The 22,993-nt window shown below is 41.8% G+C and overlaps 1 protein-coding gene and 1 pseudogene across 9 annotated transcripts in view; one reads left to right on the top strand and one right to left on the bottom strand.

Annotated features, from left to right (window-relative positions):
* Window positions 1–22,278, top strand: part of KYAT3 (kynurenine aminotransferase 3) — a 71,917-nt gene extending 49,639 nt beyond the window's left edge. For 4 of the 9 annotated variants that reach the window (NM_001349447.1, NM_001349448.1, NM_001349449.1 and 1 more), the window contains 2 exons: window positions 231–317; window positions 7,077–7,549. In NM_001349447.1, coding sequence (NP_001336376.1) covers window positions 231–317; window positions 7,077–7,139 — 150 coding nt within the window. In that variant the 3' untranslated portion in view covers window positions 7,140–7,549. Of the gene's footprint in view, window positions 1–230; window positions 318–7,076; window positions 7,550–22,083 lie in introns of those variants that run through there. The other 5 variants (NR_146184.2, NM_001008662.3, NM_001008661.3 and 2 more) reach the window with 2 other exon arrangements.
* LOC100130455 (shieldin complex subunit 1 pseudogene) lies at window positions 19,337–19,934 on the bottom strand (annotated as a pseudogene).
* Window positions 22,279–22,993: the final 715 nt, after the last annotated feature.

The raw sequence follows: 22,993 nt of genomic DNA, 5'->3' as shown, positions 1-22,993 counted from the left end.
TGTTATATTTTATAGTTAATTTTTGAAGGAAATCTGCTGGTATGCTTTGAAATCGATCAAATGTAATGTTGTTATATGATACTCCACTTGTGGCTTTTAAAAGCATTTTTCTTTTTGGAAATTATTGTGACTATTTAAAAGTATCTAGTTGCCTCTAGTATCTGTAGTACCAAAATTAATATTTGAAGTGTAAGTAGTTTTCTTATTATATGTTTCTATTTATTTTTCAGAAACTATCAGCCATCCCCGTTTCAGCATTCTGTAACTCAGAGACTAAATCACAGTTTGAGAAGTTTGTGCGTTTTTGCTTCATTAAAGTAAGTTCCCTGCTCTATTGAAAACACATATATAGTATCTTCATTTCAATTTTTAAAGTACTATTTTCTTCTGTTTCTAAAAATGATATGCTCATATGCAGTTTTTAAATTTTGGCTTACGGCTTTAAAATTAACTGCTTACTGGCTGGGCGTGGTGGCTCATGCCTGTAATCGCAGCACTTTGGGAGGCCGAGGCGGGCTGATCACGAGGTCAGGAGATCAAGATCATCCTGGATAACACAGTGAAACCCCGTCTCTACTAAAAATACAAAAAATTAACTGGGCATGGTGGCGGGCACTTGTAGTCCCAGCTACTAGGGAGGCTGAGGCAGGAGAATGGCGTGAACCCGCGAGGAAGAGCTTGCAGTGAGCCGAGATCGCACCACTGCACTCCAGCCTGGGCAACAGAGCGCGACTCCGTCTCAAAAAAAAAAATTAACTGCTTACCAAAATAAAATTCAACACTTTTTGAAAGAAGACAACATAATACAGACCCCTTACCATGTAATATGACAATTTCTAGCTTACAATGAAAAATTACTAGACATAAGAAAACACAAGAAAATATGACCTGTAGCAAAGAAAAAAAGAAGTTAATAGAAATAGGCCTAAAGGTGACCCAGATCTAGAAATTAGCAGACAAGGACTTTAAAGCAAACATTTGAAGTATGTTTAAGAAATTAGATGAAAACGTGGTAATAATAAGTGAACAGAGAGGTTCAAACTATTAAAAAAAAAAAGAACCAAATGGAGATTCAAGAACTTAAAAGTCTAATATCTGCTATGAAATACTTATGGTGCTAAGAGAGTACTGAAGATGTCAGAAAAAAAGGGTTAACTTGAATACAGATTAATAGAAATTATCCAATCTGAAAAAAGGAGAAATATTATTTTTAAAGAGTGAACAGAACCTCAGGTCTATGAGACAATACCAAGTGATAATATATGTGTCATTGGAGAACCAAGAAAAAAAAGAGAGAGAATATGACAGAAAAAATATTTTAAGGAATAATAGTCAAAATGTTCCCATATTTGGTGAAAAGCAACTTATGTCTAAAAAGGTCAATGAAATACAACAGGATAAATATTTTAAAAGCACAATTAGGTACATCATAAACTGCTGAAAACAAAAGTGAAGATAAGATATTAAAGGCAGCCAGAGGTCAGGTGTAGTGGCTCATGCCTATAGTCCCAACATGTTGGGAGACCAAGGCGGGAGGATTGCTTGAGTCCAGGAGTTCAAGACCAGCCTGGGAAACATAGTGAGATCCTGTCTTTATAAAAAAATATTTTTAATTAGCCAGGCTTGCTGGCACATGCCTGAGGTACTCACTATTCAGGAGTTTATGGTACAAGGATCACATGAGCCCAGCACGTCCAGGTAGAAATGTTAACTAACTTCTTATCAGAAACAGCGGAGACCAGAATACAATGAAATAACATCATCTGAGCACTGACATAAAAAAAAAAAAATAACAGCCTAGAATGCTATATCTAGGAAAATAGCCTTTAAAAATGAAAATGAAGTAGATATCCCTGACAAATGAAAGCTGAGAGATTTATCACTATCAAACTTCTCCTTTTTTAAAAGGTTCCAAGTGTGTTACTGCTGTTTTCAAAATGTTGTTGGTACTGAAAATAGTCTTACTGAGATCAAGACACTCTATCAACTCACTCATCTTTAAACCTAATGAGAATAACATAAACACTGTTTTCAACTTTCAGAGACAACCGATAGCCAGACTTGCTCAGAATAGAATATAAATATTAACAACCTAACAATGTAAACATTCAATTGACTGAAATTTTAAAGAACGGTAATGCTATTAATATCCTTCATCTTACACTGGATTGAGAAATAGTGGTATATTATTTGAAATTGTAAACAAAACTAACAGAAGAAAGAAGTAACGTAGGACTTCCAGTTTTAAAATGGTAAACCCAGCCCTCCCCTAATCTCTTTTTAGAAATTATTTAAAAACAACTAAGAGAATAGAAAACAAATTCCCCAGTGTTTAAGGAAAGGCTGCTAAATACTGTGAAGGTGATGGTAGAGGGAAGATCCCTAGAAAGGATCCTGCTTTTACATCTTCAAATTACAGACAAAGCCAGCAGGCAGCATACTCATTATTGAGAACAGTAGGAGCAGTCGCTGCACTGGCAGCAGGAACTTCTCTAGACCGTTTGGCATGATGGAGGAAACGGCAAAAACATACAGTCATGTCATCTGGAAACTATGTAAGGCAAGGTGGAAAGGAGACTCTGGTTGGTCTATAGATTTCCTCATTTACTCCTGTCATTTTGCTAAAAGCTATGTTGAAGCAATGCGGAAGAGATGTATTAAACTGGGGATAGCCAATTTAATTATTTGGTAAGAACTGTGGTCTAAAAGAACTCCCACCCACTGAACCCTACATCAACTGTATTAAATTTTACTATGAGACAAGGAGAATTTCTGCTCTTTTCTGGTGCTGCCCCAGCTTCTCCCTTATACAAATCAGCAAATCTATCTTCAAATCACAGACAAAGCCAGCAGGTAGCATGCTTATTACTCAGAACAATAGGTATAGTGCATGCTTTGGCAGTGGAAAACAAAGAATTCAATCAAAAATGATTAATAATCAAAGAGGAGGGGCCAGGTGCGGTGGCTCACACCTGTAATCCCATTACTTTGGGAGGCCGAGGCAGGAGGATCACTTGAGGTCAGCAGTTCACAACCAGCCTGGCCAACATGGTGAAACCCCATCTCTACTAAAAATACAAAAAATTGAGGTGGGTATGGTGGCACATGCCTGTAATCTCAGTTACTTGGGAGGCTGAGGCATGAGAATCACTTGAACCCAGGAGGCAGAGGTTGCAATGAGCTGAGATTGCTCCACTGCACTCCAGCCTGGGTGATGGAGTCAGACTCTGTCTCAAAAAATATAATAACAATAATAATAATAATAAAAGAGGAACCAACTGTGAATCTATATAGGACAGTATAAGGAAAAGAGAAAGGTACAAGGAAAAACAAGTGTTAGAGAATATTCGCCCAAAAAAAATGTTGCCATGGAGCAAATAAAATTAGTGCTATTTCAGATTTAAAACCTTTAAAATGAGAAAGCAGAGATTTTACGAATTCAGGGAAGATAGAGTAAGATATTATAAGAAGATCAAATGGGAGCTATCAGAGTTCAGGTAGGAAATTGAAAAGAAAAAATAAAGCTATTGGAAATTATGGTGACATTATTAATAGAAACACCACAAAGAACACTAAATACTTCTGTAAGGACATTAAGGATGGAGATAAGTGAGCAAAAGGAAGTAGAAAGGAACAAATAATTTTTAAAATATTAGGCAGAAAAATTATTGATGCAGAGGAAAAATAAAATATGTGGAGTTGCCAGAAAAAAATAAGAGCAGAACAAATGGAACCTGCATATAATAATAATTGTCACACAATTATTAACACTGAGATATACCTCGCTTGATATATTGGGCTTCAAAGACAATTCCTTTGGTCACCTAGACAGTAAGATCAAGGCCTCCAGAGGGGCCAGAAGAGGAGGATCAGTATGGACCCAGACTCTTCTTACATCAGCAGTCAATATTGGCAGATAGTGTGGAAGTAGCTGGAAGTTTCTAGGGAAAGTGGACACACCTAACTCCACCTCTTAGAAAGACTAAAAATCAAAGAATGACAAAAACATACCAAGAAAATAGAAATTGAAAGAAAGCAGTTTGAATTCAGAGCAAAATAAAAGTGATAAAAGTAAATAAATTTAAGGCAAAAATAGCACTTTATAATATTATGGGTAAGATCCTTAGTAGTTGTTAAACTTATAAAAGTTGTCAAACTTATTTCATAGTAAGGGAAATGAAAAATAGAACTGCAAAGAAATTTTATCTCTTAGATTGGAAACAACCAAAACAACTAAAAGTTTCATAAAACACTCTCACAAATTGAGAGTGGGAGTATAATTTGTAAAATCTCTATGGTGGTTAGTTTGAAAATTTCTGTTCAGATGTGATTTCCCATACCCTTTGATCCAACAATTCTACCTCTACAAGTGTTTTCTTGTGGATTTATTTGCACATTTCGAATGACTTATATTCAAGGATTTTCACTGAGGCATCATTTGTAATAGCAAAATATTGTAAACAACAAAATTATTCACCAGTGGGGGCTGCTTGAATAAATGATGCTACATTCAGATCAACCTAAATGCCCATCAATGCTGTCATTGGATAAAGAAAATGTGGTACATATACACCATGGACTACTATGCAGCCATAAAAAAGAATGAAGTCATGTCTTTTGCAGGAACATGGGTGGAGCTGGAGCCTATTATCCTTGGCAAACTAACACAGGAACAGAAAACCAAATATCACATGTTCTCTCTTATAAGTGGAGCCAAAAATAATGAGAACTCATGAACACAAAGAAGGGAACAACAGACACTGGGGCCTCCTTGAGGGTGGAGGGTGGGAGGAGGGAGAAGAGCAGAAAAGATAACTGTTGGGTGCTGTGCTCTTAATACCTGGGTGATGAAATGATCTGTACAACAAACCCCTGTGACATGAGTCTACCTATGTAACAAATCTTCACATGTACCCCCAAACCTAAAATAAAAGTTAAAAATAAATAAACAAGAACAATAAAAAATATACAATTTTAAAAAGAAAGATGGATGAAAATCTCTGGAAAAATATATAATGAAATCCCAGTGTTGTCTCTGGAGAGAAAAACTGAGTGGCTGAGGAAGATAGGTGGGAAGCTGACTTACTTTAAAACAAATATTTTTAAATGCTCTCAACCTAAAAGTTTCAAGAACTTTTTTCTAAACTATTTCAGAGTAAGTTGTCAACTTAATTACTGAGGATGCTCCGATCACCCCCATATACTTTCTTGTGTATTCTTCATAAACAAGACATTCTCCTCCCAAACCACAATATAACCCTCAAAATCATGAAGTTAACCTTGATACTCCATCTAATCCTCAGATCTGATTTAAATGTCATTCATTGTCCCAATAATGTCCTTTTTATAATAATTAATTAATTCAGGCTAGAATCATGCATTGCATTTAGTTGTCATGTCTCCTTCAAGCTAGAATGGTTTCTCAGTTTTCTTTGACTTTCATGATCTTGATACTTTTGAAAATTATCAATGAATTATTTTTAAGAAAGTACCTCAATTTAAGTTTGATGTTTCCTCATGCTTAGACTCAGGCTATGCACTTCGGCAGGAAACCACAGAAGTGATGATACTCTATCCTTTTCATTGTATCAGGTGGCACATGATTTCATTTATTCCTATTACCAGTGATGTTAACTTTAACCACCTGATTAAGGTGGTGTTTGCCAGTCTTTTCTACTATAAAGTTATACTTTTTCTTGTTAAATAGTAAATATTTTGTAGTAAGGTACTATGAAAATATTCCATATCTCATTAAGCAATTTATTTATTAACTTATTCATATGTATCAATGTGGACTTCTGGATTTTTATTTTGTAGTACAGTGGGCTATAATTTATTATTATTATTACTTATTTTGATACTTAGATTTTCCCAGATTTGGCCACTAGTCATGTAACTACTAATTTAATCAATACTTCTGTATGGGATCAATCTCCTGTCAAAGCCACTGTGCATCCCTCACCTTCCCAGTCCCTGAGAGAATACCCTTTTCCCGGTTCAGGCTTTGACATTTTGTGCCAGGCTGCTACACTACATCTTCACCCGACCTGGGCTTTATCACCCATGCCGACCTGTCCTGTCATCCTCCTGGAGAGGTGCCCCCATCTAGGTCTCCAATACCCCATACCAGGCCACCACTGTCACCTACTACACAGAAGCCCTCCTTGCCCCTCTTGGGCACTGACACCATGCCAGATGCCTGCCTCATCTCATCCAGGCTCCAGGACCCTGCATGAGGCCACCCTACCATACAGGTGCCTCACTTACCCCACTCAGACTCTGACATCCTGTTCCAGCCAGCACTATCACCTCATGACACCCATGCTGACCAGCCTGCTCACTCCACTCTGGCTGCAGTGTCCTGCACTAGGGTTGCCAAGGCTCTCCCAGCCCTATACATGGACAGCCGCTTTGCTCAGCCTCACCTATTGGCTTTCAGACTGAATCATTCTGATGGAGAGAGAAGACAAAGAAAAAGAAGTAGAGAAACAGAAGATGAACAACAGAAGGCTGGATTTTCTCTGCTTACACCTCTGTTTAATTTTATGCTATATGTATGAATCACCTATTCAAAAAATAAACTATTTTTCAATAATTACAACTATGAAACCTTGAAAGCAAGGGGCAGAGTAGTGTGAATGAACTAATTTTTTTTTGTTCAGAGCAAAGTATAGATATAGTAGATAATATGTGAAGTTCACAAATAAGGAAATAGAAGCATAAGCACATTATTAGATTTTGGTGGTAGCCATTAGAACTAAATCCAGAAATTGCCATAAAAGGTTATCTTGAAGGTAGAGGGAGTCATAGGAAGGGTGAAGAAGGGGTGGAGCAGACAGCTATTATTTTTCAGTGTAAACTCTTCTGTACCCTTTGACCTGTTTCTGTAATTATAATTCATTTGGTTAACTGTTTTCCTGTTTTGGGTTCTGCTTTTGCTTTTTCACTTTGAAAATTTTTCTTCACTTGAGATCAGATATTCACTTAAATCTTCATTATGTTGTATATTTAAATCTTTGCTTCATCTTGAATTTATGTATATCTGTAATAATGATGATTATTTCATTAATTTACAGAAAGACAGCACACTGGATGCTGCTGAAGAAATCATCAAGGCATGGAGTGTACAGAAGTCTTGATTTGTGCAGAATGGATTAATGTTTCTGTTAGATGACCTAGTATGGAATTGTTACTTAGTGCTGCCACCTGCTGGATGTTAAAAGGTATTTCAGTACAACTGGAATTTAAATATTTCCATTGTTTTTCCAAAGCAGTTAACCCAACTCCTAACAACATTTTCGGGGGATCTGACCTTTTTTTTCCAGTTGAAATGTATTAACACACCTTCCACAATCATTTTATAAGAGTCAGCATAACATAGTGGATAAGAAATGTGAGATGTTTAACCTCTCAGTAACTCGGTTCTCTCATTATAAAATAGGAATAAAATCAGTACCTGTTTCATATGAAGGTCGTTTCTGAGAATTAAATGGACTAATGTATGCAAAAAGCCTGGCAAACAATAAACACTCATCTGACTTTAGCCGGTTTCATGTTTCCACCATTGTGTAAAAACTCCTAACCAGTTCCACCCCTCAACCACATCTATTTGTTTTGTGTACCCACCTGTAGTTCCTCCCCTTCATTTACCAATGGCCTTGAACTCTGTTCACAGTTTTGCTTCATACCCCAAGTACTGCTGTTATTTGCGGTGGCTTCAGGTCCACATAGATTAGCCAGGCTTTCCATACTTTGACATCCTCACCTCTGGTGATGTTCACCTCCACTGCACTTCAGCCACCGCTGCCTTGGTCGCTCCCTGAGGCTTTTATGATTCAAGTCGGCTTCACCTTTTGAGATCACAAATTCATCATCTCCCACTATAATGACCTATTCTTCCAGCTCATTGTTGCTGTCTTGTGCACATGCTCTCCCTTTTTTTTTTCTCTCTCTCTCTCTCTCTGTCTCTCTCTCTCCTCCATCTCCTTCTCCTCAGCTCTTTTCAAAATATCACTTCTTAGCCAGGTGCAGTGGCTCATGCCTGTAATCCCAGCACTTTGGGAGGCCGAGGCGGGTGGATCACTTGAATTCAGGAGTTTGAGACCAGGCTGGCCAACATGGTGAAGCCCCATGTCTACTAAAAATACAAAAAAAAAAAAAATTGGCTGGGCGTGGTGGCGTATTCCTGTAATCCCAGCTACTTGGGAGGCTGAGGCAGGAGAATTGCTCGAACCTGGGAGATAGAGGCTACAGTGAGCCAAGATTGTGCCACTGCACTCCAGCCTGGGCAACAGAGTGAAACTCCATCTCAAAAAAAAAAAAAAAAAAAAAATCACTTCTTTAAACTTACTACAATTTCAAATCCACTATTTCACAAAAAAATGGTCTATGACCTTCTTTCATTAGAATCTACTAAGATCCTTGTTGAAGACAGAGATTCTGGTCATCACCCCAGACCTGGTGAATAATAATTTCAGGATGTAGCCCTCCAGGTGATACTTACACACATGAAAGTTTGATCATTACTGTTGTAGTTTGTAGAATCCTCCATTTTATTTCTATCGGCTCCCTTAAATCTTCACTCCCTTTCTCATCTAGCCTTGACTTCATTGTCTATCACTTCAGACAAGTTGCTTTTGCTGCCTTGAATTATTTGCACCATTGTTCTATCTCAGCTGATCAAAAAGAAAGAACTCAACCCTGGGGTTGGAGCTCCATGCCTGTACCTGGGCTGTACATTGCACAGTTGGGCAGGTTCTAGCAACCATGAATTCACGTCACTGACACGAACTAGACATAAGTCTATGTTCCCCTACCTTTTACCACAGCAGCAATTCCTACCATTCTCCTATATTTATGTTTTGTTTTGAGATGGAGTCTCACTCTATCGCCAAGGCTGGGAGGCAGTGCCGTAATCTCAGCTCACCGCAACCTCTGCCCCCCAGGTTCAAGCAATTCTCATGCCTCAGCCATCCAAGTAGCTAGGATTACAAGTGTGCGCCACCACACCTAGCTAATTTTTGTATTTTTAGTAGAGACAGGTTTCACCATGTTGGCCAGCCTGGTCTCAAACTCCTGGCCTCAAGTGATCCGCCCGCCTCAGCCTCCCAAAGTGCTGGAATTATAGGCATGAGCCACCGCACCCAGCTGATTCTCCTATTTTTAATAACAAAAATATGCTACCTCCATTCTCACCTCAAAGCCTACCACAGTAGCATGATTAAATCATAGCAAATAACTTCAACCCCACTTCTGTGAAAAATATAATGAAAAAACAAGCTACCAAACCAGCACTTCCAACTAGGATCGTACCAATAAGCCTGTGACTTGTCTGCATCATCATCCATCCTTCCTTCCCTCCAGTTATAATGGTCATTCATCCTTTGACTTGTCCAAGGCCGACAGGTTAGGGGTGGCAGTAGAGTAAGGAGGACTTGGTTAAAAATTACCAGGCCCAGCCATCTAGAAGGAAGCTCAGGACCCCAAGAGCCAACAATTCTGTAGCAACAGAAATCCCATGGCAAATGTTTAGCCTGTCCACCCTTGCTGGGAACTTGACAAAATTTTCAGCAGAATTTAAAGCAGCTTTTTGCAGCCCTGGACTTGTCTAATGCTACTTCCACTGCCTGTGCTCTGGATCTTATTTCCTCACACACTCTCAGAATTGGCTCAGTCTATGCTCTTGGACCTTCAATCTCTACTGGTTCCCTTCTTCAGAAGTGGGATATGTTCAAATCTCTCCCATCTTAGAAAATTCTTTCACTGATTGAGTCTATCTACTAACCTGCTATGTCTTCCTATTCAGGGCAAAATTCTTTCTATCTTTCCTCTCTCTCCTCCTCCTCCCTCCCTTCCTTCTTTCCTTTGTTCCTATCTTCTTTACTTCTTCCCTGTCTGCCTCCCTCCTTCCCCTATTTTTTCCCTCCCTCCTCTCTTTTCCCTTTTTCCTTCTTCTCCTCCTTCCTTCCATAAGTATCACTTGAACTCCTACTATGTGCCAGGCACTCTTGTAGGCACTTACTACATCAGTGAACAAAAATTAAAGATTCCTGTCCTCTAGGCTTTTCATCTAGCCAGGGGAGGGAGATTAAGTCATAAACATAATAAAATATATTGTATGTAAATTTATACCTAATTGTATGAAGAAAAGAACTAGAGCAGAATAAAGGGGGATGACTGTTACAGAAGCAAATTGAAATTACAGTAGTGTGGTCAGAAAAGGTCTTATGGAGGGGACATGGAAGCAGATTTAAAGGAGGGAAGGGAGACAGCCTTGTGCAGATCTTGGGGAGAACATTCCCAGCAGAAGGAATAGACAGTGCAATACTTCAAAGACAGGAGGGTGCCTGGCATTTTTGATGAGTAACTCAAAGTCTGGTGTGATTGGATGGAATAACCAAGGGGGAGAGTAGTAGGTATTACATCAGAGAAGTAACATAGGACTTCAAGGACTTATTATAAGGATGATAGCTTAATCCAGAGAATCAGGGTGTTGTTCCATTTTTTTAAATATGTAAAATAATGCCAGCTTGGTGCCATGGCTCACACCTGTAATCCCAGCACTTTGGGATGCTGAGACAAGAGGATCACTTGAGGCTAGGAGTTCAAGACCAGCCTGGGCAACATAGTGAGACCTTATCTCCACAAAAAAGAATTTAAAAATTATCCAGGCATGTTGGTGTGCTCCCATAGTCCCAGCTACTTGGGAGACTGAGGGGGAGGATTGCTTGAACCCAGGAGGTTGAGGCTGCAGTGAGCTGTGATCACACCACTGCACTTCAGCCTGGGCAACAAAGCAAGACCCTGTCTTAAAATAATAATAGTAATAATGTCTGTTGCGGCATTGTATATAATTACTCCAAATGGGAAACAACCCATTTGTTTATATCTATCTATCAATAGTCTAATCTATCAATAGTCTACCAATCAATAGTCTAATAATTTAGGGGGCATATTCATACAGTAGTATCAATAGTCTAATAGTCTATCAATAGTCTAATCAATCAATAGTCTAATAATTTAGGGGGCAATATTCATACAGTGGAATATCATATGGCAATGAAAATTAACAAAGTACAGCTACACACAATAACATGAATGAATTTCATCAACACTGTTGTCATAGGGTTTCTTCACAGTGCCTTCAAAGAATGAGCTAGAGCTCTCAGTAGACAGTATTCTGTAATACTAGAATCAAGTGCTGTGATCATTGAAGCTTTGCATGTCAGCCTCAACCTCAGGGCTTCTAGAATTTCTGCGTGCACCCTGGAGTGAGGGTTTCCACAGTTTGGTCCAACAGCCCTAAGATTACCATGGGAAACTCCATGTCTGGGTGATTCAAGAGACAGAATCATTATCTTTTCCATTGAGCTGTGATGAGGAGACCTGAGTTGGGGAGAGGGAGGAAATGGCTTTTTTTTTTTTTTTTTTTTTTTTTTTTTGCAGTTGCAGGAGTGAAGACAGAGCTCCCATACAAAGGGAGGGGACCCAAAGAGGGTAGCTGTTGCTGGCTCGAATGCTTGGGTTTACATCCCGATCATTGTCCTTCCCATTGTGCTCTCAGGTGATAAGATGATTGGCTATTTCTTTACGTCCTGTTTTTGCCTAATTAGCATTTTACTGAGCTCTCTGATTGGTCAGATGTGAGCTAAGTTGCAAGCCCCGTGTTTAAAGGTGGACGTGGTCACCTTCCCAGCTAGCCTTAGGGATTCTTAGTTGGCCTAGGAAATTCAGCTAGTCCTGTCTCTCAGTCCCCCCTCTCAACAGGAAAACCCAAGTGCTGTTGGGGAGGTTGGCCAACAACCACTCTAACTGCTTCCTGCTGAACTGGGGCATAGTAGGGGTTGTACAGTTGAGATTTCCTCAGGAGGGGTGCCTTCAATGTCATTAACATTGGAGCATGGGCTAGCAGGCCGGTCCAGGGGTCCGCAGTAGATCTTAGTCATGGATTGCATCTGGGGCTCCATTTGAAGAATGATTTGTAGTTTTACAGCTTCGATTCTGGAAGAGACAAACTTAACAAGGAGGTTAAAGATAGAGGGATTGAAATATATGGCCTGCAGTGCAGGAGATTATTTCTTTGCCACACTTCACAGGCCCTGACTATCTGCTTGATAGTTTTGAAAAGGCCTGGTCCAGTAAATAATGATTTGGCCATCTGATGGGTGCTATCAATGCCTAAGTGAAAGGTTTGGTGAAGGGTTTTAAGTAATTTCCATTGGTTAGCTGCAGGCAAAAGTATTTTTCCTTCTTGGTGGCTAGCCATCCTGAGGGGAGGAAACTATGTCCTCATGAGGTTCCCCATTCTATTTCTTCTTCTGAGTACCGGGGCTTGGTTTCCTGGAGGGGATTACCCCACACTAGGGGTCCTTCTATAAGCATTTCTAATGGAGGGTCCTGCCTTGCGGCTCTTTTGGCTTCAATATCTGCTTGGCGATTCCCTTCTGTTTCCCTTTCCTTTCCTTTCTGATGACCTTGGCAGTGTAAGACTGCCACCTCTTTAGGTTTCTTTATAGCCAATAATAATCTCCTAATGGCTTCCTGATGTTTGATAGGTGATCCCTCGGAAGTTGGGAATTCCCTTTCTCTCTATATTGCTGCATGGGCATGGAGGACTAGGTAAGCATACTTAAGAGTCTGTATATATATTTACCTTTTTTCTTCCCTTAATTTTAGTGCCCAAGTGAGGGCTATTAGTTCTGCCAGCTGAGCGCTAGTTCCTGGAGTGAGGGAATTACTTTCAAGTATTCCATTACCACTGACCACTGCATACCCTGCTTTTCGAAGTCCTTTTTCTACAAAGGGACTTCCATCAGTATACAAGTTGAGGTGGGGATCAGTCAAGGGAACCTCTAGAAGGTCCCCTCGAGCGGCGCAGGTTTGAGCAATTACTTGCTGACAGTTAAGTTCTATTTTTTTCTTCATTGTCTGGAAGAAATGTGACTGGATTAAGAGTTGCGCAAGTGCACAGTCGCAGCACTGGCCCTTCAAGTAATAGAGCCTGATATTTAAGTAAACGGTTTTCTGACAGCCACAAGTCTCCTTTAGCAGTGAGTATGCCATTCACATCATGAGATGTCCACACAGTAAGATCTCTTCCTGTATCATTTTAACTGCTTCAGATACTAAGACTGTTACTGCTGCCACTACCAGTAAACAATGAGGCCAACCCTTTGCCACTACATCAATTTCCTTACTCAGGTACGCCACAGATTACAAGCTGATCCCTCGGACCTGTGTAAGGACTCCTAGAGCTATTCCGGTTTTTTCTGTGACATATAAAGAAAAGTCTTGCCTTGTTGGCAAGCTCAACACTGGGGCTTGGGTTAGGGCCTTCTTTAGGGCCTGGAAAGCTGCTTCTGCTTCAAGTGTCCATCTTACTAAATGGGTATTGGCTTTCTGAGTTTCCTTAATTAGTGTATATAAAGGCCTGGCTATTTCGCCGTACCTGGGAAACCACATTTGGCAGAAGCCTGTTATGCCAAGGAATCCTCTTAGTTGCTTTAGTGTTTTGGGATGAGGATAAGCCAGTATAGGCTGGATACGTTTCTCACTGAGGGCCCTGGTGCCTTTGGATAATTTTAACCCTAAGTATTTAACCTGTTGTGAGCAGAGCTGAGCCTTTGGTTTGGAAACTTTGTAGCCACAGATGGCGAGGAAATTTAAGAGTGCTTGGGTGGCTTAGTGGCAAAAGGTTTCTGAACGAGTGGCTAAAATTAAATCACCACGTACCAAAGGACAAGAGGGTCCAGGTATGAGAACTGGCTCAAGTCTTGGGCTAATGCCTGGCCAAATAGATGGGGGCTATCCCTGAACCCTTGGGGTAAAACAGTCCAGGTGAGTTGAGACGTTGGGTTCGAAGGATCTTCAAAGGAAAACAAGAATTGAGAGTCAGGATGTACAGGGATGCACAAAAGGCACCCTTTAGGTCCAGGACTGTAAACTACTCTGCTTCCTCTGGCATTTGGGAAAGCAGAGTATAAGGGTTAGGTACAGCTGGGTATAGAGGGACAACGGCCTCATTGATAATCCTGAGATCTTGCACTAACCTCCACTGTCCGTTGGGTTTCTGTACTCCTAAAATTGGAGCATTGCAGGGGCTATTGCATGGTTTTACTAGGCCTTGGGCTTTTAGGTCTTTAACAATCTTTTGGAGTCCTTGTTGGGCCTCGGGTCTAAGGGGGTACTGCCTTTGGTAGGGAAAGGAGGCGGGCTCCTTTAGTTTAACTTGAGCAGGACGGGCATTCTTTGCTCGTCCATATTGTCCTTCTCTTGCCCAGACTTCAGGATTAATTCCTTCCTCAAGCAGGGGACAACAAACGAGTGTTCCTTCTCCTATGTTCAGGTGTATAATGGCCCCTGCTTTTGCTAGAATGTCTCTCCCTAACAAGGGAGTGGGGCTTTCAGGCATAATTAGAAAAGCATGTGAAAACAGTAAAGCTCCCCAGTCACAACTTAGTGGCTGAGAGAAGTATCTAGTAACTGGCTGTCCTAGGACCCCTCGGATAGTGACAGATCTGGAGGACAGTTGTCCGGGACAGGAGAGTAAGACTGAGAAGGCTGTGCCAGTGTCCAGGAGGCAGTTAACCTCCTGGCCCTCAATGGTCTAGCATACCTGGGGCTCTGTGAGGGTGATGGCATGGGCTGGCACTTGCCCCGGGCACCCTCAGTCCTGCTGCTGGATCATCTGGTTAGTGGCTTCTGACTCAGAGGACCTTCGTCCCCTGGGGCAGTGGGCCTTCCAGTGATTCCCTTGACATAAGGGGCATGGACGAGGGGGTGGCTTACTTCTACTTGGACAATCTTTTTTAAAGTGTCCTTGTAGACCGCACTGGAAGCAAGCCCTATTAGCATTCGATTTGCCCAGCTTTTCTCTTTTCCAGAGCCTCCAAAGTCCGCTTGCCTGAGGGCCATGACTAAAGCGGTGGCCCTTTTTTTTTTATCCCGTTTGTCCCGTTCCTCCTGATCTCTATTATAAAAAACCAACGTTGCCAAGTTCAATAGGGTTTCTAAGTTTTGCTCCAGGCCTAAGGAGGACTTCTGAAGTTTTTTTCTAATGTCTGCAGCTGACTGAGTGAAAAATTTATCCTTTAAGATTAGTTGACCTTCAATAGAGTCAGGTGACAGGGAGGTATGCTTCCTCAATGTCTCCCTTAGTCTCTCCAGAAAGGCAGAAGGATTTTCTTCCTTTCCCTGTGTTATAGTGGACATCATTGAATAATTCATAGGCTTCTTCCTAGTTTTCCTTAGTCCTTCTAGCGCGCAAGTTAGCAAATGTCTGCGGCACCAATCTCCATGTTCTGATTCTGTGTCCCAATGAAGGTCTACAGTGGGAACTGCCTGCTGGCCTGTGGGGAATCATTCTCTTTCCTCTGTTGTCATCCTATCATTGAGCTGACTGAGATACCAGAGATCACCAAACTCTCGGGCTGCAGTTATGGCGGCACTTCTCTCATTTGGGGTTAGTGTCTGATTTAGCAGTAACATATCTCTCCATGTCAAATCAAAGGATTGTCCTAACCCTTCTAAAACATCAATATAGCCATCAGGGTTATCTGAGAATTTACCTAGGTCTATTTTAATTTGCTTTAAGTCTGAGAGAGATAAAGGTACATGCACTCTGGCTGGGCCGAATTCTCCTCCTCCTACTGCTTGGAGGGGGCATAATCGGGGAATACTGGTACTCTTTGGTTCATTGTTTACCCCTTTGTCTATCTCCTCTTGGACCATTTGGGTTGAAGGGGGGTCCTTATTAGTTGGGGAAGGAGTCAGGGGGACACTGGGGTAGGGAGGTAGACTCTGAGGGCTTCCTGTAGGGCATAAATCACACTTTTTACATAATTGCCAGTTGTCTCTTAATGAAAAGAAAGTTTGCACATATGGCACTTCACTCCATTTGCCTTCTTTTCTACAAAAGAGGTCTAGCTGTAAGATGCTGTTATAATTTATACTTCTCTTAGGAGGCCAGGTTTCTCCCCCTTGAAGAGGATATTGTGGCCAGGCAGTACTGCAGAAGAATATAAGTAGTTTCTTTCTTAGCATCTGAGGGTCAAATTGGTCCCAATTCTCCAGAATACATCTTAGGGGCGTTTTTGCCTTGGGGGGAATGTTTCCCATCTGAAAAAAGAACATAGGGATGCCAGCACCCCTAGTCATTTTCTGATGAGCATTAGTCCTAGAGCGTCCTCTATGGTCCTAATGTTTATTCCCTTCCAGGGTGCGTAACCACCCATGGACCTCTGCTTATCGGATTAGTTACGCTTACCGATGTAGCAGTCCTGCACCCCTTTTTCCGTCTTTCTTGACCACAAAGAAATGGGTCCGGGCTGCTGGATTCTAGTGGTCCTTTACCAGCGTGCCCAACATTGCATTTGTGCTCAGGGGTGAGTCCTAGAGCTGGGCTGGGTTCCTGAGTATTTCATAACAACCCAGCTGCCCCATCAAGATTCATTCCCATAAACAACAGTTCTTATGCAAATTTGTTTCAGAGAGGGTGTGGGTAACCTTTTGAGTCAGGATTGAGATAGTCTTTTTTGATTCTGTAAGTACTTTAAGGCTCGGCTAAGTGCAAACAGCTCCCACGTTTGAGGAGACCAATTATTAGGCAATTTTTCTAACTCTGCTTCCACAAGAGTCTCCCTATCAATTACTGAATACCCGTTGTGGTTTTTCCCTCAGTCTCCTGGGAGGAACCATCTATCGGTCAGGGCCAGGTGTGGTGGCTCACATCTGTAATCCTAGCACTTTGGGAGGCCAAGACAGGAGGATCGCTTGAGCCCAGGAGTTTGCGACCAGCCTGGGCAACACAGTGAGATCCTGTCTATACAAAAAGTAAAGAAAAATTAACCAGGTATGGTGGCACACACCTGTACCCTCAACTAATTGTGGGGGTGAGGGGGGTGGATTGCTTGGGCCTGGAAAGTTGAAGTTGCAGTGAGCGCCATAATTGTACCACTGCACTCCAGCCTGGGTGACAGAGCGAGACCCTGTGTCCTGTCCTGAAGGGAGTTCCTCCTAGGTCTGGTCGGACCTTTGTATGGTAATTAAGATTTAAATCCCCTGTTAGGAAATCTGCTGGGTTAAGGGAATTATCAGTGGTTGGTGTTAAATTACCTTTTTCTAACAGAATAGACCCATACTTTAAGATTTTTGAGTTAGTAAGCTACCTGTTTGCTTTTTTGACTTACGATAGTTCTGAACTGGTGAGGTGTGCTCACAATGAGGTTTCCTCTAAAGGCTAATTTTCTACTTTCTTCTGTTAGCAAAGCAGTTGCTGCTACAGATTGAATGCATTTGGGCCACCCGCGGGTTCCTGGGTTAAGGATTTTTGATAGGAAGGCTACTGGTTGTCGGTGGCCTCAGTGCTTTCGGCTACGCCCTTATTTACACTGACAACAAAGTGGTATTGGAATGTTATAGGGTCAGGGAGAAGACCTTCAATTATCAATCATAGGTTTTAAATTTACCCTGGCTTTTAAAGGAATAGGGCACACTGGTTTTTGTTTGTTTGTTTGTTTACTATTTCTGTCTTTTTCTTTTTCTCTTTGACTCCCTCTTTATCTCTCTCTCTCTATCTCCTCTGTCTCTCCTCTGTCTCTCTCTCCTCTGTCTCTCCTCCATCTCTCTCTCTCTCTCTCTCTTCCATCTCTCTTTCTCTCTTCCATCTCTCTCTCCTCTGTCACTCTTTCTCTTCTCTTAGCCATTACAAACTTGGGGCCCTGGCAAGGGTGGTGGGGAACGGGTCCCACATAACTGCCCATATCGAGAGCTGTATACCTAAATCAGGAGGGACACCAGGGATAAGACTCCCTGGGTTTATGTCTAGATGCCTCAGGACACAGCGTAGAGCTTCCTTAGATCCCTTTCGAGATACAGCTTGCTAGAGGAAATGAAAGTCTGAACCATTAGTACCTAGGAGGCAGGGATCAGAGGAAGCAGATTCAGAGGTAAGGAGAATTTTGGGGCTACACTTTCAAGAAAGTCGTGGTCGGGACCCAGGAGGTATGGGTCAGAGGGAAAGGTAGGGGCACACGCATGGGCGACTGTAGAGACTTCTGGCTGTGCCATGATCTCAACCGGCTAATGTCAGGAGTTCGGGATGACAGCTTTCTGCCTCTAGTCGGCCCTTGGTTTCTCCAAGAAAATTGAAAGTGGAAGCTGGCTCCAGACAGACGAACCGGACGACAGGTGCCCAGTATTTTCCTCCAATTCTAAGGAAGAATAGGACAGAATAGCAAGTGAAAGTGGTCTAATATTACTCACCGCTTTGGAAGTCCCTTCGTGGTCACCAAATGTTACCTGGGGTCCTTGCTCCCAGAGCTCCCAAGATGGCGGCGGGCTGCTTCCAAGATGGTGGCAAGCCTCATGTTCTCTGATCTGGGGTTCTTGGCCTCACGGATTCCAAGGAATGGAATCTTGGGCCATGCGGTGATTGTTATAGCTCTATTAGAAGCCATGGGTTATGGAAGAGAACCATGGAACCCAGTGACTAGTGTTCAGCTCGATTAGGATGAACCCGGGCACTTAGCCATGCAGGAACAATGGCAAGCCTTTAGCCCAATCGGGAGCAGCAATGGGTGCCTCACTGGATCAGGAGCACAGCAGACACCTTACCGGATCTGGAGAGATGGAAGTCAGCAGCGAGTCTGCGATGGCGGCAAACAGCAGTGGTAGACGGCGAGCAAAAGCTCAGCTTGAGCTGTAACAAACACGGACCAGAACAGTGCAGTTGCAAGATTTAATAGAGTGAAAACAGAGCTCTCATACGAAGGGAGGGGACCCAAAGGCAGTTGCCTGGAAATGGATTTTAAATATGAGGTCTGTGGGTGAATAGTGCAATATTGAACAAAGGAATTTTTTTTTTCAGATATAAGAGGTTTATTAAGGAAAGGCTCACAGACACACCCATAAATAATGGGAGGAGGATGGGGAAAGGGATGAAGCCCAGCAAGAGTGTGATTTCATGTAAGTCCCAGCATTGGCCTGACTGCCAGGGGAGGGACCTATGGAGTATAAATTATGCCTCAGAGTGTGTGCCTCCTTGTGAAGGGAGCTGGGCTTTTGACTCCTAACCCTGTCAGTCCATGGCCTCAGCCAAGGGGAGTGGGAGGTGGAGTGGCCACAGGCACATAAAACCCCCAGACCCTGCTGGTTTCTATACGGACTGACTGGCTCCAACACCAGGTCACAGGTGCCAGCCTTTAACCACAAATCACTTAGTTAAGATTGAACACAGTGAGCTGGCAAGAGACCCTAGGGGATCTGGGTGGCTGCAAACAGTACTGGTCACAACCTATACCTCCAATACTCCCTGCTCACCGCCAGGCACCAGTTTTGGGTCTTTCGTTGAATTCTGCCATAAGAGAAAATTAATATCTTTTGAAAGTTCTGGGTTGGTTTTTCATCATCTACAGATGTACTTCCTTCCTCCAGTGAGTAGAAGTGGATGTCCCTCTGCAAGACTGAGCAGCCATCGCAGTTAAAGATGACCTGGGACATTTGAAAACTATAGAGGGCATACTTTTGGCTCTCCTGGACTCTTAGTTGAGGGATTTTCTGAGACAGGCACTGGCAGACAGATGCAGAGAATGGATTCCCAGAGGCTAGCTTTGGATATCCAAACATTTCATAGAATTTATCCAGAGATTTCTGAAGTCCATTATCCTCTTCTACGGTCTCTGATTGGCCTTACACAGAAAGGTGAAATCAAAAGTTCTCAGTGGTCCCAGAGTCATTTTGTTTAGTATTTAGGCTCCTGGTGTCTGGATCCACATCAGAAAAGCAAGGAAAAGAATGGAATTTCACAGAACTAAAAGCCTTGCTGTTGGCCTCTTGGCTGCATCTCTGCAGGACATAATCCTTCACATACAGGCTTATGGCAGGTCCAAAGTACTGCTCTCCTCTGACAGGCTGTCGGGGGGTGGCTTCCTGGCAGCCACACTCCGCCCTGCAACAGCAAGAGCCCAGAACTTGGAAATGGAGGTGCACCATCTTTGTAAACCAAGGAAATTTTTAAACTGTGACTTAATATTCCTGGGACTTGTCTCCCTACCTTATGTCTTTCAATCCATTATCCCTACAGACCAAAATAAGCTTTCTAAAATGAAAATGTGATTACTTGACATATATTAATTAACAATATTCATGTTGCAAGGCATAGAAAGCCTAAGTCATATGGTTTTGAATCTAATAAATGGCAATTTTCTGTCTCAACTGGAGATTTAGGAGTAGAAGAGTTTCAGTTACAGCTTGATACAGGAATCTGTTTATAATCTTTCACCAAGCTCCATTTCACAGTTCTGTCTTCTCCGTGTGTCAGTGTTACCTTAAGATTACCCCTCTAGTGATAGCAACATGGCTGCAGCAGTTTCTAAGCATCACATAGTTACTCTAGCAAACACAGCAAAAGAGGACACTTTCTCAGAAGCTCCAGCAAATGGCATACTGTGTCTTATTGACCCATCCCTGAACTAATCACTGTGGCCAATGGGATTAGGTTTGCTAAATGTCTTAAGCCAATTTGAGGTCAATTCCATACAAACTACATTGGTTGGAAGAAGGGTCAGAATAAAGATGGGAGGAAATAGGTGAGCAAACATCTTAAGTCAGCAGTCACCAGCCTTTTTGGCACCAGGGACCGGTTTTATGGAAAACAATTTTTCCATGGATGGAGGGGGATGGTTTTGGGATGAAACTGTTCTACCTCAGAACATCAGGCATTAGTTAGATTCTCATAAGGAGCATGTAACCCAGATCCTTCGCATGCACAGTTCATAATAGGGATCATGAGACTCTAATGCCACCACTGATCTGAAAGGAGGCAGAGCTCAGGCAATAATGCTTGCTCACCCACCGCTCACCTCCTGCTGTGCAGCCCAGTTCCTAACAGGTCACCAGCTGGTACCAGTCTGCCACCTGGAGGTCGGGAATCCCTGTCTGAAGTGATTTAAAACCCTTCAGTAATCTCTATTGCTCTTCATATAAAGGCTGCTCTTTCCTCATCAGGGCCTATACTACCCTGCATGGTATTGTCTCTGTCACCCCTTTGGGCTCATCTTTCTCAGTCATTCTTTCCTGGTGTTCAAGCATGCTTTTTTTTAGAGAGAGAGGGGGCCTCATTCTGTCACTCAGGCTACAGTGCAGTGGTGCAGTGGTGCAATTATAGCTCACTGCAGTCTTGACCTCCTGAGTTCAAGCAATCTTCCCACTTCAGCCTCCCAAAGTATTAGGATTATAGGCATGAGCCACCATGCCCAGCCCTCAGTCATGCTTAATTTAGGTGCTGTGATGGTTAATTTTTTCTGTCAACTTGGCTAGGCCACAGTGTGTAACTGTATGATAAAATGTTATTCTGGATGTTTACAGGGGGACGTTTTTTGATGAGATTAATATTTAAATCAGTAGATTTTGAGTAAGGCAGCTTGCCCTTCATAATTTAGATAGGCCTCACCCAGTGAGTTGAAGGTCTAAATAGAACAAAAGGCTGACTTCCCCTGAGTTAAAGAGAATCTATCAGCAGATGGCCTTCAGACTTGAACTACAATGTTGGCTCTTCTTGAGTCTCCAGCCTGACAGCCCACTCTGCAGATTTTAGACTTGCTTGTCTCCATAATTGGGTGAGCCAGTTCCTTAAAATAAGCCTTTTTCTATACATCTACACATCCTAGTGGTTCTATTTCTCTGGAGAACCCTGACTAATACAGGTACATGAGCAAAAATGAAGTTAAGTTGTCTATAAATTCTTGAAGTTAGGTAAGAAATCATTCTACAACATCATACTACACAATAATAAGACATATAGACTTCACACTGTAAGCAATGATGAACCTTTGAAGATCTTTTATGGAATAGAGAGTATATGATAAAAACTGTGGTTTGGCTATTGAAAAACCAATAATATCTACCTTCTTCTTTGACTACTTATACTATTAAGGCTAAAAAAACCAAAGTACCTAATTTCTCCAGTTCCTTTGCAACTAGTCAAAAGTGCTCAAGGAGGGCTTCCCTTTATGGAAAAAGGCAAAGTCTTCTTGAGACTTTTTAATCCTTTTTGTCCTTTTCACCCTCTACCTTCTTCCTGCCTAGAATGTAGAAGCGAGGCCTGGAGGTGAAGCAGCCATCTTCCATTCATGCCACAGCTAGCATGAGGGTGAATGTCTATATAATAAGGATGGCAGAGCAGAAAGATGAAAAGAGACTGGAACTCTGGAAGCAGTTTGAAGCCACTGTACCTACCCCTACCTTGTAATGGATGAGACAAATAAACCCCTATTTGTTTAAGCCACTGTAGTACAGTTCTCTGTTATTTACAGATGAATGCATTACTGATATAGGTTACATGGTACAAAGATCAAATTTCTCTTCTAGAAGATAAGTTGACCTGAGGAAAAGTCCTGCAATGCACAGAGAGAAGCCAGTCAGAAGGCTCCAGGACCCCAGGAAAAAGACAGTGAGGCCTTGAAGGATTTAGTATGAGAAAAAGGTAAATTATCACAAATTTTTGTCATTTGTAAATTTTTTCCATAATTCTTATGATGAAAATAATTATATAACCACACACTTACCAAATATTAAATTAAAAATTATTTCCAGATAAAACAAGTCTACTTGGTCTCAGTTGGATAAACTCAAGAGTAAAACAACAAAACAAAAACCTCAACCATGTTACTGACACATGAGAATTTCATTTTATTGCTGCTCTGGGAATACATCTAATTACTCAATAATGCCAATTAAATAGGAAGTTCACCTGCTGACAAACAGCTATCTTGGGATATATCAGAATAAACCATAGAAATAATTGGATTTTCTAATCAATATTAACTTCATCATATTATACACTTGCTAGTTTCCTTCATATTTAGCAACAACATTTGTTTCTTATGTTTAGCCTTTCATTTGTGACAACAATCTCATGGTTAAGGAAATAAAGGCTGGGAGCAGTGGCTCATGCCTATAATCCCAACACTTTGGGAGGCCGAAGCAGATGGATCAC

Source organism: Homo sapiens, chromosome 1 (assembly GCF_000001405.40).
Source record: "Homo sapiens chromosome 1, GRCh38.p14 Primary Assembly".
In the NCBI taxonomy this organism is placed as follows: domain Eukaryota; kingdom Metazoa; phylum Chordata; class Mammalia; order Primates; family Hominidae; genus Homo; species Homo sapiens.
Note: the sequence above shows the minus strand (reverse complement) of the source record. Positions and strands in the feature narration are given on the sequence as shown.